At 40.1% G+C, this 16,780-nt stretch overlaps 1 annotated feature.

The window, feature by feature from the left end:
• Nucleotides 15,658-15,952: an enhancer, noted in NCBI's record as "tiled region #10894; HepG2 Activating DNase matched - State 8:EnhW". NCBI's record gives its function as "activates a minimal TATA promoter and a strong SV40 promoter by Sharpr-MPRA in HepG2 cells {active_cell/tissue: HepG2}" and the evidence as "EXISTENCE:reporter gene assay evidence [ECO:0000049][PMID:27701403]".

Genomic DNA, 16,780 nt, shown 5'->3' on the forward strand with positions numbered 1-16,780 from the left:
CCTGCCTGCCTGGTGACTGTGGACCAGCTCTGGTACAGGCAACCCAGCAAACTGCTCTGCCATTCACTGGTCTGCAGTTGTATCTTCATTGTGGTCTGAGCCTCAGCCTCTTCCAGTATTACTCTTTCTTGGTACTGTCCCTTAACCCTAGTATGTCTTTTAAAGTTCTTATTATATCTTACAATTCTCCTATCATGGCTTAATTCTTCATGGTAAACATTTCACTTTTAAAAGAGATTTATTAAGAATTTATTGTTTGAACCAAAAGCTTTATTAAAAACCTAAAAAAGTATAATATATACTCATGCTGAAAAATGCAAATAATATAGAAGGGTATACATTGAAAATTGAAGATCTCATTCTTCTCCACTCTCCCCACTTTTGTTTTATAATCATTTCTATGTCCCAACTATAAAAATCATTTATAACTTTTAATGTACTTTTCTACAAACTTTCTGTGCATCAATAAACATACACATAGATGTTAACTTTCCTGTTATGCTCTTAACACAGTTTTGAACCCTACTTTTTTCTTTAGTTAATATATATTGGGCAGCTTTCCATATCAACACATTTTATTTTTAAAATATTTATTTGTTCATTTAGTTATTTATTTTCCAAGAAATACAAATACATACTTATGAATATCAAACATCAAAGAGGTATAAAAAGAAAAGTGGGCCAGGCATGGTGACTCATGCCTGTAATCTCAGTACTTTGGGAGGCTGAGGTGGGCAGATCACGAGGTCAGGAGTTCGAGACCAACCTGGCCAACATGGTGAAACTCGGTCTCTACTAAAAATACGAAAATTAGCTGGGCGTGGTGGTGTGCACATGTAATCCCAGCCACTCAGGAGGCTGAGGCAGGAGAATCACTTGAACCTGGGAGGCAGAGGTTGCAGTGAGCTAAGATTGTGCCACTGTACTCCAGCCTGGGTGACACAGCAAGACTGTCTCAGGAAAATAAAATAAAATAAAAGTTTCCTGAATTACCACTACCTCTTTTAATCATTTTGGCTACCACCATAATTTTAAAAATACACACACATTTATATGCAGGTATACATTTATTTGAGTCATCAACTTTAGACAGTATTTATTAATTTTCCCATTTAGAAAAAAGAAGTGCAGCTCGCCACCAGCACTCATTTAATTTTACATAAACACGCTCTTCAAGGTCAAGCAAATCTGACTGATTTTCAGTGTGAAAATAAAATATCAACACTGTTCTTGGAGTTATTTCTAAATAGAACCAATATCAGAATCTTCCGAATAATCAGAATCATCTATATCGGAAAAGTCAATCTCATCAAATGAATCTTCAAGGGCCAACAAGTGTTCGAGAATTCTAGCATTTGACATTTTCAGCGATCGAGAATTACTGTATTTTGTTAATATTAATGGAAATACCACCACTAAAAACAGAATGCTATCAATAGAGTGATGTCTTTTGTTTGCAAAGTCAATATACTAGAGCAATTTGAAAATGTGAAAATAATAATAAAAATGAGATATTGCATAGCAAAGTTATCTCAGGGTAAATGTGTGGCTACAATTCCAACCGCCGAGTATTCTCAGGGCAAATGGGAAAAGGGTTAATTCCTTAATGTGTAAAATAAGAAATGTAGGATGTCCTGGCTTCTTCCACTTCTATCACCCTTGTTCCCTCTGAGCTTTGGTCAGTCATTGTATTTTTTCATATCCTCAAGATTTACATTTGTTGGTTCCATGTACATTTGCACATTTGCAATCAGACTTTCTACTTTGTATGTAGATTCTAAAGGTTGAATTTGTGGCTCATTTCTGTAATCCCAGCACTTTGGGAAGCTGAGGTGAGAGGATTGCTTGAGCCCAGGAGTTTGAGACCAGCCTGGGCAACACAGTGAGATCCTGTCTCTACAAAAACTACAAAAATTATCTGGGTGTGGTAGCACATGCGTGTGGTCCCACCTACTTGAGAGGCTGAGGTGAGGGGATTGCTTGAGTGTGGGAGTTCGAGTCTGCAGTAAGCTATGATCATGCCACTGCCCTTCACCCTGGGCAATGGAGTGAGACCCTGTCTCAAAAAAAAAAAAAAAAGTTGAAATGCAATAAATACCATTTATAATATAATTAGGTAACTATTAATCCTAGTAAAACCAACTAGCAGGAATGAAGATTTAGAGAAGGAAATGGCATTCTATGCCACAAACTAAAGACTGTCTCAAGTCAAATGTATTAGTTTTTCTTTACATTGTTGTTACCAACCATGGGTTCTTGGGCTCTCAATGTAATAGAGATTGACATGAGGCCAAAAGAGTTTTCCTAAACAAGGCTTTATGGGAGCTTATGCTCAGACAAAGGGAGACAGCTCAAAAGAGAGATAATTCCCTGGCTCACTCTCCAAAAAGACATGGTATGGCTTTTTTGATTAGGCAAAGCTCCAGAATTGACATGGGGGTGGAATATGCAGGCTGGGCTGGGCAAAGCACATGAGGGGTAGGGTATGCAGGTCAGCATTATCTGGTTGCAGATGGTTATCTTGAGTCATGGGTCTCATGGGCCACCTGGTGGTCTGCCCTTTCCCAAAAAGGCTGTGAATCAGTTGCTCAGTCTGCCTTCCCAAGGTGGGACACTGCAAACTTCGTTGTCTCCTAATGCCAGTTCCTGGAATTTTTTATGTAAAAGGACTATCAGTGAGGTAGTGGTGTGGGCTTTGTGATCAGTGGGAATGCACGAAAGAAGGCTCTAATGGGGGTGAGCTGAAGCCAAACCCTGTCTCTACTCTGTCTCAATGTGATAATTACTCAATTTTTTTTCACAATTTAGTTTATATTATATATGAAGTGATTTTTCTGTACAGTTTTTTTTCCTGGAGTTTCTAATTATCTTTCTTTTTTTATTGTTGTTTGACCAAAGAAACATGTCTTTAAGAGCTTCCAGTTTCTTAATCGTAAATAAAGCCATCTTGTTTTTGAAGACCTTCACAGAACCTGGTGATCTTTTGTTTTAATTTGGATCAATTGCTTCCTAAGTTGCTTTGTAAGACTGCAAAAATTGTTGTGCTAAATTTTCTTTTCACTGGGTTCTTCTAGTTACTTCCTTTTTCCCCAGAAAACATGTATTATTTTTTCTTGCATTATTTTTTGTTGTTGTTGTTTAAGGCTATGGAGAAATGTAGCAGGAGAAGTTGTAGACAAAATCCCTCAGACACCAGATTGTGGAAGGAAAGAGTTTTATTCAGCTGGGAGCACTGGCAGACTCACGTCCTGGTAACCGAGCTCCCTGAATAAGTAATTCCTGTCCCTTACAAGGCTCTCAACTCTAAAGGGGCCGCGTGAAGGGCGGGGGGCGGGAGGTTGTGATTGATTGAGCAAATGAGGGTTACATGACTGGAGGCTGCATGTACCAGTAATCAGAATGAAACAGAACAGAACAGGGAGTTTCACAATGCTTCCTCATACAATGTCTAGAATCTAAAGATAACACAAGTGGTGAGGTCAGGGGTTGAATTTTAACTACCAGGCCCAAAATGTGGCGTGGGGCTGCCTATGAATTTCACTTCTGCCTATTCTTTTAACTTCTACTTTTTCAGCAAACAAGAAATTAAGTATAAGACAATATGAGAAGTGGTCTCCTCTCTCATTTCCCCCTTTGAGACCCTCACTCTCTAGTGGGAGTTCTCACTTTCATCCTCACTACCTATGTCTTCCTGCAAGACAGATCGATAGTGATTCATATAGTACACTTGTGCTGAAGCATTTTGGTGACTAAGGTAGCAACAAAGCTTTTTATCATTTGGAGGAGTACAGGTAGCACACAAGGGAGTAGGTAGGTTCCTATTACTACTATAATTCCTATTATAAGAGTTTTAAATCCTCTTATCACTGGGAACCATTTTCTAAACATGGCCCCAGGATCAAACCCATGCCACACTTGCACAGGCACATGTGCCAGCTTTGTTATGTCTCTAACTATGTCTTCGACTACTTGCCCTCGATCATCTATGTGTAGGCAGCAATTAGTAAGGTTAAATTTTCCACAGGCCCCTCCTTCAGCTGCTAGTAAGTAGTCAAGAGCCAATCTATTTTCATAGATAACATTTCTCATCTGAGTTTCTTGTCAGGCCGGTAAAGTCAAGGCTTGGCCGGTTTTATTAGTGATGATTTCTAAGACGGCTTGCAACCGTATGATTCGGTTGAGCATGTAAATGGGGGTCCGTTATCCCCACAAGCCATCTTGTGTCCAAGTAGCAGGCCCATAGTATTGTATAATTCTTTCAGGGGGCCATTCGTCATCTTTCCAATTACCTATGGCCATGCTTCTCCTTTCGTGGGAAGCATAGACAGGGAAGCCTAGAAGTTCACCTGTTTTTATGGGCAGTAGGAAGAAAGATGGTTTAATAGTGCCAATAACACAACTACCTGTCCATTGGTCAGGCAGCTTAGCATAGGCTCTATGCCCACATATCCAGTATGTGGATTCAGTGGCAGCCATCCAGTCCCGATGGGACTCCAGGTGGGTCCACACAGTCAGCAACTTTGGAAATTTACTAAATGGATTCTTTTCAGTGTAGTTTGAACTCCACCAAATGGCTGTTTTGGTAGTTGTCCACGACAACTGAGCCATCCTACAGGGTGGGTAAATTCTTTTCCTTCTCTAGCTATGCAATACTGCCCAATAATTGAGGCTTTTAGGACCCAGAAGTTATCAGGATGATTCTTTTGGGCTGGGAATTCACAGGGAACGGGGTCTGTAGGCACTAATTCTCAGGCTTCCCATGGCCACTGATCTCCCATTATGGTTCCTCCACAAACATAACATGAAGTGACATTAAGAGACCAGCTACATGCTCAGCTAATTGCAAAAACAAGTTTCTAGTTTTTCCTGGAATTTCTGGTACCAGCACATTTAGTTCATTATAGAAAGTTTGAAACACTGGTTGGGGAAAGCATTTTTGGACTTCTCCTCATATCAAGATATGGACTCTGGGATCAAGACCGGTCCCATCAATTCCTAGGGTTACATATTCCCCTGTTTTCCAGTGGGGATCTAGTGGGTTAGCAATTATTAGTTCTAATGGGTTGTAATTTCCACTAATGCCAGAAGAGTTACTTTTTCCTTTCTGGAGACTGACGGGGTCTTTGTCATCTTTTTTAAGTAGCCCAAATGATGCAAGACCAGTATAAGCAACCTCCACAATTTCCTAGTTCATGACATACATACTTATTTTCTATGGTCAAATAATTACTGGAAATTATAGAATAACTTTCTGCATTGTTAGATTTCTGAAAATGCCTTTATTTTGCTCTCATACATGATTCATATTTATCTGGACCCCTAAAGTCTAGTGTATCAGTCTGGTCCAATCAGGAGACAGAAATTACAGAGTAATTTGAACAGGAAAAGTAATATAAAGAATTATAAACTTTAACAGAGAATTGGAGTAATGAGGAATTATTAAGTAAAAAGGAAAGAGAACTCTAAAAAATATAGGAATGACAGATACAAGGAGCCATTCTACCCCTGGGCTGAGACAGAGCACCCAGAAAGAGCTCCCCTCCTCCTCTCCTCCTGTTCCCAGAGCTGAGATCCAGGTCTTGTTGGAAAGGACATAGCCATGGCTCACTGCATAGCAGGGGAGTCACTGTGGTACCACGCCAGTTGGAAATTGATCTTCTAAGGTGCTATGGAAAGCTGGTCATGGGGTGGTGTCTCACCAGATGCACTGCACTACAAAACTGCTCAGAGGATGATTCCAGGGGAACAGACTTCCAGCCTGCTGCTGCCAGCCTTGTGCTACAGGACTTGGCTACTGGAGAAGCTTTGTAACTGCCCAACCAGTTCATTTTGCTCACTGCCTAAACAGAGCCAACTTATAAAGACAGGGGAATTGCAATAGAGAAAAAGTTTAATTTACACAGAGCATGCTGTATGGGAGACCAGGTATCAGGGGTTTTTAAGGATAATTTGGGGGGTAGGGGACCCAGTGAGTCAGGAGTGCTGATTTGTTGTGTCAGAGTTGAAATCACAGGGAGTTGAAGCTGTCCTCTTGTGCTGAGTCAGTTCTTGAGTTGTGAGCCATAAGACCAGATGAACTAGTTTATCTATCTAGGGTGGTGCCAGCAGATCGATTAGGGTCTATAAAATATCTCAAGCAGTCATCTTAGATTTTATAATAGTGATGGTATCCCCAGGAGCAGAACCTTGCAGCCTCTAGCTTCATAACTCCTAAGCCATCATTTCTAATCTTGTGACTAATTTGTTAGTCCTGCAAAGACAGTCTAGTCCCCAGGCAGAAAGGGAGTTTGTTTTGGGAAAGGACTGTTAAAGTCTTTGTTTCAAACTATAAAATAAGTTTCTCTTAAAGTTAGTTCAGCCTATGCCCAGGAATGAACAAGGGTAGATTGGAGGTTAGAAACAAGATGGAGTCGGTTAGGTCAGATCTCTCTCACTGTCATAATTTTCTCAGTTATAATTTTTGCAAAGGCAGTTGCAGCTTGATGCTGAAGAAGCTGCTCGTGCTATAGGAGCCCACCAAGGGAACATTCCAGAACCAGCAAGCAAATCAATCTCTTTTCCCCAGGGATGTCTCTTCAGGGCTCTCTACTGGCAGTGTTTCAGTGATACCAGGTAAGGGAAAATACTTAAAGGATCCAGATCCATTTTCACAGAGCAAGCAAAAAGGGAGAATTTGGAGCCAAGAGGCCATAAATCAATAACTGGCATGTGTAGGTACAGAATGACTCGTGTCATTAGAATGTTAAAGAATTTGCTCGATTGTCTTCTGATAGCTTGTAATGCAGATGAGAAGTCTGATGCCATCTTAGTACTTCTTCATGGGTGACTTGTTTTTCCCTCTCTGAGAGGTGTTAGAATATTCATCTTTGGAGTTCTGAAATCTCATAAGAAGGTGTATAAATGTCACTTTTCCCGCAGTTCACCTGCTTGGGAGCCTGTAGACCTATCCCAATCTAAAGACTTGAATCTTTAGCTCAAAAAATTCTTATGTTTGTTTATCCTATTACTATTTCCTCATGCAAATTTCTCTTCTCTCTCTTTTGAACCAGTTTGTCTCTTGTCTCTCTTGTCTCTCTTTTGAACTCCTACTAAACAGATGTTGGACCCCCTGGATTGGTCTTTGTCTTTTTCAACTTTCTTTTCAAACTGTAACCAAGTACTCCCATTTTTCTAAGAGGTGGTTTAATTAATTTTTCCCTCTCTCTCTTCTTTTATTTCTTTTCTTCTTTTTTCCCCGGTTCCCCCACCTCTTAGCCCTTTAGAAATGCAAATATAACCTTCACCTCCCCGTCACCAGACATTCCCTACAGGGCAAGTTCATCTGTCTGCTCCAAGACAGACCTCTCCTTGAGAGTTGACAGTTGATTTGCAGACCAACGCATGCTCCCACAGAACTCTCACCTCCAGGGGCTTGCCTCAGGTAGGTATGTTAAAAGCATGCCCATTTGGCCACTTTACAACTTGGAAAGCACCAACTCAACTGCCCAGTAGATAAGGAGCCCCTGCCCTTGCTCATTTTCTCCCCTACCTTATAAAAGTGTCTACTTTCTGTTCCAAAAGTGGAGCACTAAGGCAGGACATCTGTGCCTCTTCCCCAAGCTAGCTTCAGAGTAAATATACTTGCTTCATATCAGACTTCGCTCTTTTTAATTGGACTCTCTGCATGCAGTGAGCAACTAACCCACATTTCAATTACAAAACTTTCTCTTTGTCACTTAGTTTGAAGCTCTTTGAGATTTCCTTGGCTTTGTTTTGCAGATACCAATTCAGCCTTGGCCACGTCTATGTTAATATTCCACCTCTCTGTTGAATAATTTCATTTTGTCAATTATATTTTAAATATCCACGTACTCTTCCTTTATTCCTGATGCTTTCTTTTCATAGGAGCATTCATATTTTGTGAAAGCAAAATCCTCTTGAATCTTTCTGAGGATACTCATTTAGAATTTTTAAGTTTTCTTCTATTCCTTGAATTTTCTGGTTCCTGGGAGGGTTTAGTTGTTTTATTTGGTCTTTCCCTTTCATATTTCTGATTTCCTTCAAAAATCTAGCTTCTTTGAGATTCCTTTTATTTATGAATGAAGGACTTAGGCTGACTGGTACAGAGGGCTGAAGTAGGTTTCTTCTGTAGTTTTGTAGGAAGGTTTTCCCAACAGATTCTTTAATGGGATGGCTGATTTTTGGTGTTGGGTAAGTAGGTGAGTTGTCCCAGAAACCAGTCCACTTTGATCCCCAGCTGCGGGGTATACAAATTGAGTCCTCTGATGTAAGGGGCAAGTGGTGTCCACCTCAAACATTAATAGGACATGAACCTCAGCATATCAAAGGCTGTTTTCTGAAATACTTTGACTGAGATTTTCAATTTTATACCCCTTTTATAGTCTCAATGTGCATGAAGGATTTATGAATTGATTAACTTTTTATCAGCCACCTATCTTGAAAATTGTTATCTCTTGTTTAGTATCTTATTTCGGAAAGCAGCATCTTCTTGAATCTTGTTTTCTCTGCCCAATTTTTCATTTTAATTTTATGAGATATTTATGACATTTTTGAGATATTTATGAAATATACACATAGGAAAAATTCCTAAGAGTGTGTGAAAGTGTGTTCAGTCTTAACTTTGAGAATCACTGGGTTAGGTGATGGAAGTGGTTGTGGCTGACTCAATTATTAGCCATCTCAGGGTTTTTCAAACAATTGATGTTATTGCCTTTTCCCCACCTACACCTCCTCAAGTCACTGCACAGAAGCAGCAGCCAGAGGACAGAGGAAGGGGAGAAAACCCTGCGGGTAAGATGGGTCTTGTGCCACCATCAGCTTCACCCCTGATTTACTATGTGACCCTAGGTAATAACCATAATTGCTCCTATTGGCTGAGGGCTTCCTATAGGTCAGGCACTGTGCCAAGTCTTCTACATGCATATTTCCAATCATTTCTCACAACAATTCCATGACAGCAACCCCATAATCACCCCAGGCTTACTGAGGCTCAGAGGGAATACTACGATGGTTACGTAACTCTGTGAATATATGAAAACCCACTGTGCTATATGCTTTAAATGGGGGAATTTTATGGTATATGAATTGTATGTCAATAAAGCTGTTATTAAGTGGTGTATTTTTTCCAATCTGAAGTGGAAGTGATTAAAATTATGAATAAGATTAAGCATCTTTTCTTATGTTTAATGGTAATTTTTTTCTTTACATAACTTTTATTCCCTTAAAAAACTTGGGTTGTTGGCCTTTTACTTACTGATTCATAAGAGCTCAAGATTGTTCTACCGCATGTTACAAATATTTTCCTATGTTGCGATTTGATTTTTTTTGCTTTATTCATGTTCTTTTTGCCCATGAGAAAATACCAATTTTTATTGAGGTAAATTCATTCAACTTTTCTTTATGTATTTAGGGATTTGCATCATGGTTATTAAGGTCTTCTTAACCCCAACATCAGCCTCAGGGTGATTAAAAAAAATCCATGCTTTCTTCTAGTACATTTATGGTTTCTTTTTAAAATGTTTAATGCTTTATCCATCTGGAATGGGAGTAATGTGTAGAAACCTAGCCTATTTTTTTTCCAGATGGTTGGCCAGCTGTCCCAACATAATTTAATAATTAATATATCTTAGCTTCATCCATCAGAAATGTCATGTCTACCATGTATTAAACTCCCATATGTGTTTGGTTCTACGTTTATACCCTTTATTCTATTTCAATGATGTTTCTGTCAATTCCTCCATCAGTACCAAACTCTTTTATTGGTGAAGGTTTATAATTAATTTAAAACATGGTGAAGTTCTTGCTTCTTTTGCTTCTGTCTGGGAATTTTCATGGCTTATCTCTTATGCTTAATTTTTTTTTTTTAAAGGATGACTTTAGTTTAAATGATCAAGTTCCAATAAAAGTTTTGTTGGGTTTTTTATTTGATAGTGTAGAATTTATACATTTAATTAGAGACTATTCCCTGCATGATTAAAGATGCTCTCCTTCCTGGTTTCCTCCAACCTTTTGATTTCCCAGCCCTGTCTCTTTCACTCTTTGATGGTCCCCAGAGTTAGGTCGTTGGTAAGAGGACCGTATAATTTATGGTCAAACCTGGGACACCTGAGATTAAACAGTTGCTATTAATAGTGATGCTGGGACAACAGGTGTAAACTAGGACTATCCCGGGCAAACCTGGATGTATGCACCCACCAGTCACTGGCCCCATTCCAATGTACAATTCTTTTCCTTTGTGATCTTAACCATTGCCATGGCATCAATGACAACCCATGTGCTAATTATACTAAAGTTTGCATCAGACTTTTCTCTTGAGCTCCTGATCCCATATTTCTAACATTACACCAAGTATCTCACCCACATGCCCCTCAGCCACCTCAAACTCAAGTTGGATTCAGCATCCCTTCAAAGTGGGCTCCCTTCCTGCCTCTCAGTGAACTCAGCCATCCTGTCGTTAGAGCTGGATACCTTGCCAGGACCTGGAACTCATCCAGCTCCCTCGTTGCCCCTGCCAGTCTCCAAATCCTTTCAATTCTATCACTGACATAGCTTCTGGATCCACCCCCACTTCTTATCATTGTCCTTGCCTTACTTAGGGTCTCATTACCTCCTCTCTGGATCATTACAACAGCTTCCTTTCTGCTCTTCTTGCTCTAGGTTTCTCTCACTTCAGTTCAGTCTCCTATCAGAGTGAAAATGTTTAAATGTGATTGAGTCACTCACCTGCTTAAAGATTTGTGCTGGCTCCACCTTGCCAATTCCTTGTTATGGTGTGTAAGAACACAATCTAGTTCTGGCCTCCAATTTCAGTTCTCACATCTCCTGACCCAAATGTACTTTGCTAACACTGAAAGTCACCCCATTGCCCAAATACACCCTATCCTGTCCACAATTCTGTTTCCGCATAAGCTGAGCTCACTAAAATGCCCTCCCTGTTCTTCTCTACCAAAAGAAACCTCCTCAAAAAGATAAAACCTTGTCTTCTTTGTGAAGCTTTCCCCAATTCTCCCAGGCAGTGATCTCTCTTTCTAGCACTCCTGAAACTCCTCTTCCTACCTTCCATCCACCCGTTACACTGTGACCCCGCTGTCTGTTAGATGTCTCCCTCATGTACCAAACTGGCTGCTCATTAAGGGCATAGATGTGTTTCCCCAGAACATGGTATTTGAGTGCTTGATAGATTTTTGTTAAATAAATGTATAAATGATCATATGAATGGTTTGTGACTACCTATGAATTCCATTAGGTAGTCACAAACCATTCACATTATCAAGAGCAATATCCAAGGGCAACCTTATAATAAATTCAAATTATTAATAGTAGGAGTTATATAGGAGGATCTACTTTAGGTATTATTTTAGGCCTTTCAGAGATATTGTCTCTTTTAGTCTTCAAAATAGCCTGACAAGATAGGGTTATTTTTTTTTTCTTACCCGTTTTACTGTTAAGGAGTAAACAACACAGGTTGAAGGAGATTGAGTAGCTTTTTTAAAGGAGCAATAGCTAGTAAGTGGGATTGGAACCAGTTCTACTTGACTCCAGAATCCACTCTTTTCTCCCTTTCTAAGTTCACTTGGAGACAACTTTTCCCTCCCAACATTGCCAAACCTGGGACACCTGAGATTAAACAGGTTGCTATTAATAATGATTTTTTGGGATCACATCTGTTTCTCACCATCCTTGACATCTCTTTTTCTCTTCCCTCCTTATCTCTTCACCCAGAAGCTGGTTCAAGGGCCTATGGTCTCTGGCTTATGACCCCCAGGTTGTTCCCAGCACCCTCAGGCCATCGAGGGGTCATCTATTACTGCTGTCCAAGGTGAGAATGAACTGATGTGAGAAGCAAATCTGCTTCTGTGTACCAATGGGGAGGGCCAGACAAGGCTCGTGGGTCTCCTTCTTTCCTCCAAAAAACACATAATCCTTTAACAGGGGTCCCCTGGAGACACTGCCTTGTTTGTTGTTCAACACAGAGTGGGTGAGATGAATGGTGGGAAATAAGGCCGAGAAGGAAAGACCTCGTGGAAGCTGCTGCTCAGGCAGATGTTTCAGGATGCAGGAGGCTCAGGCCACAGCATTAGAGGCTGCCTGCCTGGCCTGTGGGCAGAGCAGTTTCAGTTCATAATCTTATTTAAACATTATTACAATGAACAATACATGCTTATTGTAGCCAACTTAGATAATTCAGCAATCACAAGGAAAAAAATCACTCATAATCTGGCTATAATGTGTAAACTTTAAAACATTTTTTTCTATCCCCCCTTTTCCTCAAGGAAATAGTGTTCTTACTGTGAATACATTTGGATGTATATATTTCATGGTTATTGAACAGTCTTCCTCCACACCATTTTGCATGTGTTCATGGCAGTCAGGTAGATACACTTCAGCCACTGTCTTGGCGTGGCCTCCTGTGGTTTAGGAATGAGGGAGCTGGGACAATTGAGGAGGCAAATGGCAGCATCAAAGTCAGATGACTGACCCAAGGCCACCTCACAATTCTATAACATTTGGCTTAGACACTGTAAGTTAGGACAAGAAGGAGCTTTGGAAATGACCTTGCTGGGCATCTCTTTATGTTTGAAGACACTGAACTGAGAGGAGGCGGCTCTTGCCGTAGGCCCCTGAGGCCATCACTGGCAAGTAGGACCTGGAACCCAGGAATCCTGATTCTTTGTCCAGAGCTTTTTCTGCTCTTTCACAAAACACCATCTTGCCTTCTTAGAAGAGTGTGAAGAATTTGGAGAGATTTCACTGATCGTGGTGACACAGAGGTTAGAAGGTAAGCGCTATGAGGGAAGAAAAAAGCAGAAATTATGTGGAAAAGAGAAAGACAAAGTATGAATGATCATGATCTTTATTAAAGTTTGAGGTAACTGTAATTAAAATGCGGATGGACTGTTAGGGATTCTGATAGATTATAAAGAAGAATTGGAGAGAAGGATGTATTTTTTGATTGTCAGTAGAGTGGGTTATAAAGGGTCACAGCTGATATTTACAATAGGTAACCATGGTGTCAGGAAGGTGGCTTGAAGTAGACCTTCAAGGAAAGTGATAGTATACCCTTTGAAAGTAACTTGCTCAGGTCACAGAGCTATAATTGGCCACTCTGAGCCAGATAGAACCTGCGTGCTCTATCTCACAGGACTATCTGAAATACCTCTCAGAACTGTCCATCTGGGGAAAGAAAAAAGGGAACATCTATCTGTTGGTTTATTTGCCCTATGGTCAAGTGTTGCTCTGCAAAGTGTTAATTCCCCTGCGCTTCTGGGTTGCTCTTATCTGAATCCATCCTTCCTGGCTAGTCCCAGGGTGGGACATGAAAAGCTTGTAGAGGAGAGGTGCTATCAGGTCATGCCTGCTTGAGCTGGTCAAAACCTAGACAGAACTGGTCACTGAGGATGGATAAGAGGTGAGGCAGGGAAGATTAGGAGTTGTGTACAAGAAATATTCTATATATTTGAACTAGAATGCAAATCTGGCTGGTTCCAGACAGAACATCCTGTGCAGCTGAGACTTCTTTTATTTCTAAAGACTTTTCAATGTATATTTCCTCCAAAGCTTATATTCTTTTCATCATAGCCCACGGGGTAGGCTGCCATGATTGTTCCTGCTTGAGTCACATGATACCTCTAGAACAATCACTGTGGCCAGGGAGGCATGTTCTATAAAATGACCGCTGCTCTCTTTAAAATCATGTTTGGAGCTTAGCGAAAGGTACATTTCTCAGAAGACAAAACAGTGGATGTCTCTTGTGATAGCAAATAATAATAATAGTTATCAAAACCTCTGATTCAAAGGCTCATGGTGCTTTCAGTTTTACTTAAAGCTCAGTTTTCATAGGAACTCGGTGAGATAGGTAGAAAATATTTCATACAAGAGATAAAGAAGATCGGTGCCTCTTTGGAAAAAAGCCTCTAAAATATTTGTGGGATCTCCCTGGTCTCTCCCCTCTACTAAGTGCACAGAGAAAGAACACCTTGAGTATTGCATCCAGAAGGCTAGGCAGAGTTGGTATTATTTGAAGCAAATTGGAAAGGAATTTCAGAGATAAAGACTTAAGAATAGTTTTAATGGCTTTATTCCACAACAGCCTTCCAACATAGATTCAATTCAGTGTTGCCCAGTGGATTACAAATTTGAATGAAACTCAAAGGAATCATTCCACTAAATGGATTGAGACATTCTAGCCAAAGGATGTGGGCTTATTGCAGAGTCCCCTTGCCATGGGTGGAATGGCAGAGCATGCCATTTCTGAGCTTTCTCTACCTGGCACCTTTGTTCATCACACTTAGAACTTCTTTGGTTGGTGAGATGTGGACACTCAAAATCCTCTGGCCTGTTTTAATTGGACCTTTAATTTCATTCTTTGTCCTGGTTAATTTTGCTAAATAAACCAAGGCAAGCAGGTGGCTTCATGTGGTTACTATTGTTACTATTAAAAGCTATGATTAAGACAGCTCTGCACACCTAGTTTTAAACTCAGGCCTGACTATCCTACTTTCCTAACTCCATCCCAAATCCTTTGTAAGACTTATTTATTTATTTTTATTTATGTATTTTTTTTTTGTAAAACAAACAGGATGGACAGCTGCACTCAAATTTGTATTTTGGATAGATTCACATCATTTTCTCAAGTAAAAAGCACATGCTTTCAGTACATTTTCTTTTTTTCTCCCTTTTTTCCCCCTGGTGCTGGAGTTCATAGAATTCTAATTCACATAAGTTTTAATATTTCACCCAGCTGGACTGTGTGTTAGGGGCTAAGTTTTCCTTTCCCCTCATCTCAACATTTGTCTTTGACTCCTCCATTTGCATCTCTGTCTCTCTGGATTTTTCTTTCTCTATTCAGGCCTTTCTCCATAAATTTTCCTGTAGAACATAAAGGAAAAGACAAATTCCTGATTTGACTTTCGGTGCTGGGGTATTGTCAGAGACATTTGAACCAGAGTGATTGCATCCTGAATAGGGGTAAAATGAGTCTGAGACCTACTGGGCTGCATTCCCAGGAGGTTGGGCATTCTGTCACAGGATGAGATAGGATATTGGCACAAGGTACAGGTCTCAAAGACCTTGCTGATGAAACAGAGTGGGGTAAAGAAGTCGGCCAAAATCCACCAAAACCAAGATGGTGATGAAAGTGACCTCTGGTCATCCTCTTTGATCATTATATGCTAATTACAATGCCTTAGCATGCTAAAAGACACTCCCACCAGTGCCATGACAGTTTACAAATGCCATGGCAACGTCAGGAATTGACCCTATATGGTCTAAAAAGGGGAGTAATCCTCAGTTCTGGGATTTGCCCAACCTTTTCCCAGAAAACTCATGAATAATCCACTCCTTGTTTGACATATAATCAAGGAAAAAGCATAAAAATAGCCAATCAGCAGCCCTCAGGGCTGCTCCATGGAGTATCCATTCTTTTATTCCTTTACTTTCCTCATAAACTAACTCTCACTTTACTGTATGGATTCAACCTGAATTCTTTGTTGCATGAGATTCAAGAACCCTCTCTTGGGGTCTGGATTGGGACCTCTTTCCAGTAACAGTATGAAGGTGGGGGAAAAAGGCCCCATCTCAGAATAAAGAAATAATAAATAAGGGATAGATGGTAAGAAATTCTGGAATTCTGGGGGTAGGTTTTGGAAATTTTTTCCCTAGAAGAGGGTAAGGATCAGCATGTTGAAGCCAGCTCCAACTCCAAGTTCAGTAATGTCATTTTGATAACTTGAAATTGGCCATAGTGAAAGTACACCACCCAAATTGACATACATTACAGGTCTCTCTGGAATGCTGATTGTTAAACATTTACTAATGAATCATAGGCATTTCCATAGAGTGTGTTTGCGTTATTACAGCTAGGAGGCCTGGGTTATGTTTTCCTAGTAGACTTTATGTAAAAAGCCCATTTGTTCCATTGCCCCTCCCCATATCAGGTTCATTGGGTGAGGTGCCAAAGGCTTTGTACCAGGTGTCTGGAAGGTAGTGTTCCGATCCAAGCTGCTCTTCTGCCTGGAACTGTCTTCCTCAGGTAACAGCTTGGCTCTCATTGCTTCCTCCTTCTCTTCCAGTCTTTATCAAAAGCCACCATCTCAGTGAGGTCTTTCCTGACCACCCATTTGTCCCTGCAACATGTTCATCACTGCACATCCTGTCCCACTTTCTCTGGGCTTTTCCACGTCCTCTATCATTTTCTAACTATATACTTCATACTATATACTATATTATGTTTATTTTGCATCTCTCCTTCTGGAATTAAGCTCCTCAGCCTCAGAAATCTTTGTTTGCCCACTGGTATATCCCAAGCACCTAGAACAGTGTTCAGCACACAGTACATTCTGAATAAATATTTGTTGAATGAATCAAATAAATAATCCTATCTCTAAACAAACTGGTATTACAATTTGGTGAAAGGTATAGAATGGCAACTCTAGTCTTCTAATCTGCAAAATAATGATGTATTTTGTTTTATTTAAGGGGATTTTTTTTTTTTTTGCTAGAATCAAGTGAGATAATATACAGGAAAGCAGTACTTTAAAATACAAAGAACTTTGTCAAAGTAAAAGGCGTTTGTACTGAATGTAATTGGTTTCTCATAAAAAATAGCCACATTATCTGAACTCTAATTTGATGTTCCTTCAGAGGGTATTACCTCCAGAAGGAAGAAAGGGAGGAAGAAAGGAAGGAAGTGGGAAAGAAAGGAAAGTTAAAGAATAGCAAGAAACAGAATAGGCTGCCCCAGACTGAGCCTGCTCTTGTTAATGTACTACTATTAGGACGA

This window comes from Homo sapiens, chromosome 14 (assembly GCF_000001405.40).
Source record: "Homo sapiens chromosome 14, GRCh38.p14 Primary Assembly".
Classification (NCBI taxonomy): Eukaryota; Metazoa; Chordata; class Mammalia; order Primates; family Hominidae; genus Homo; species Homo sapiens.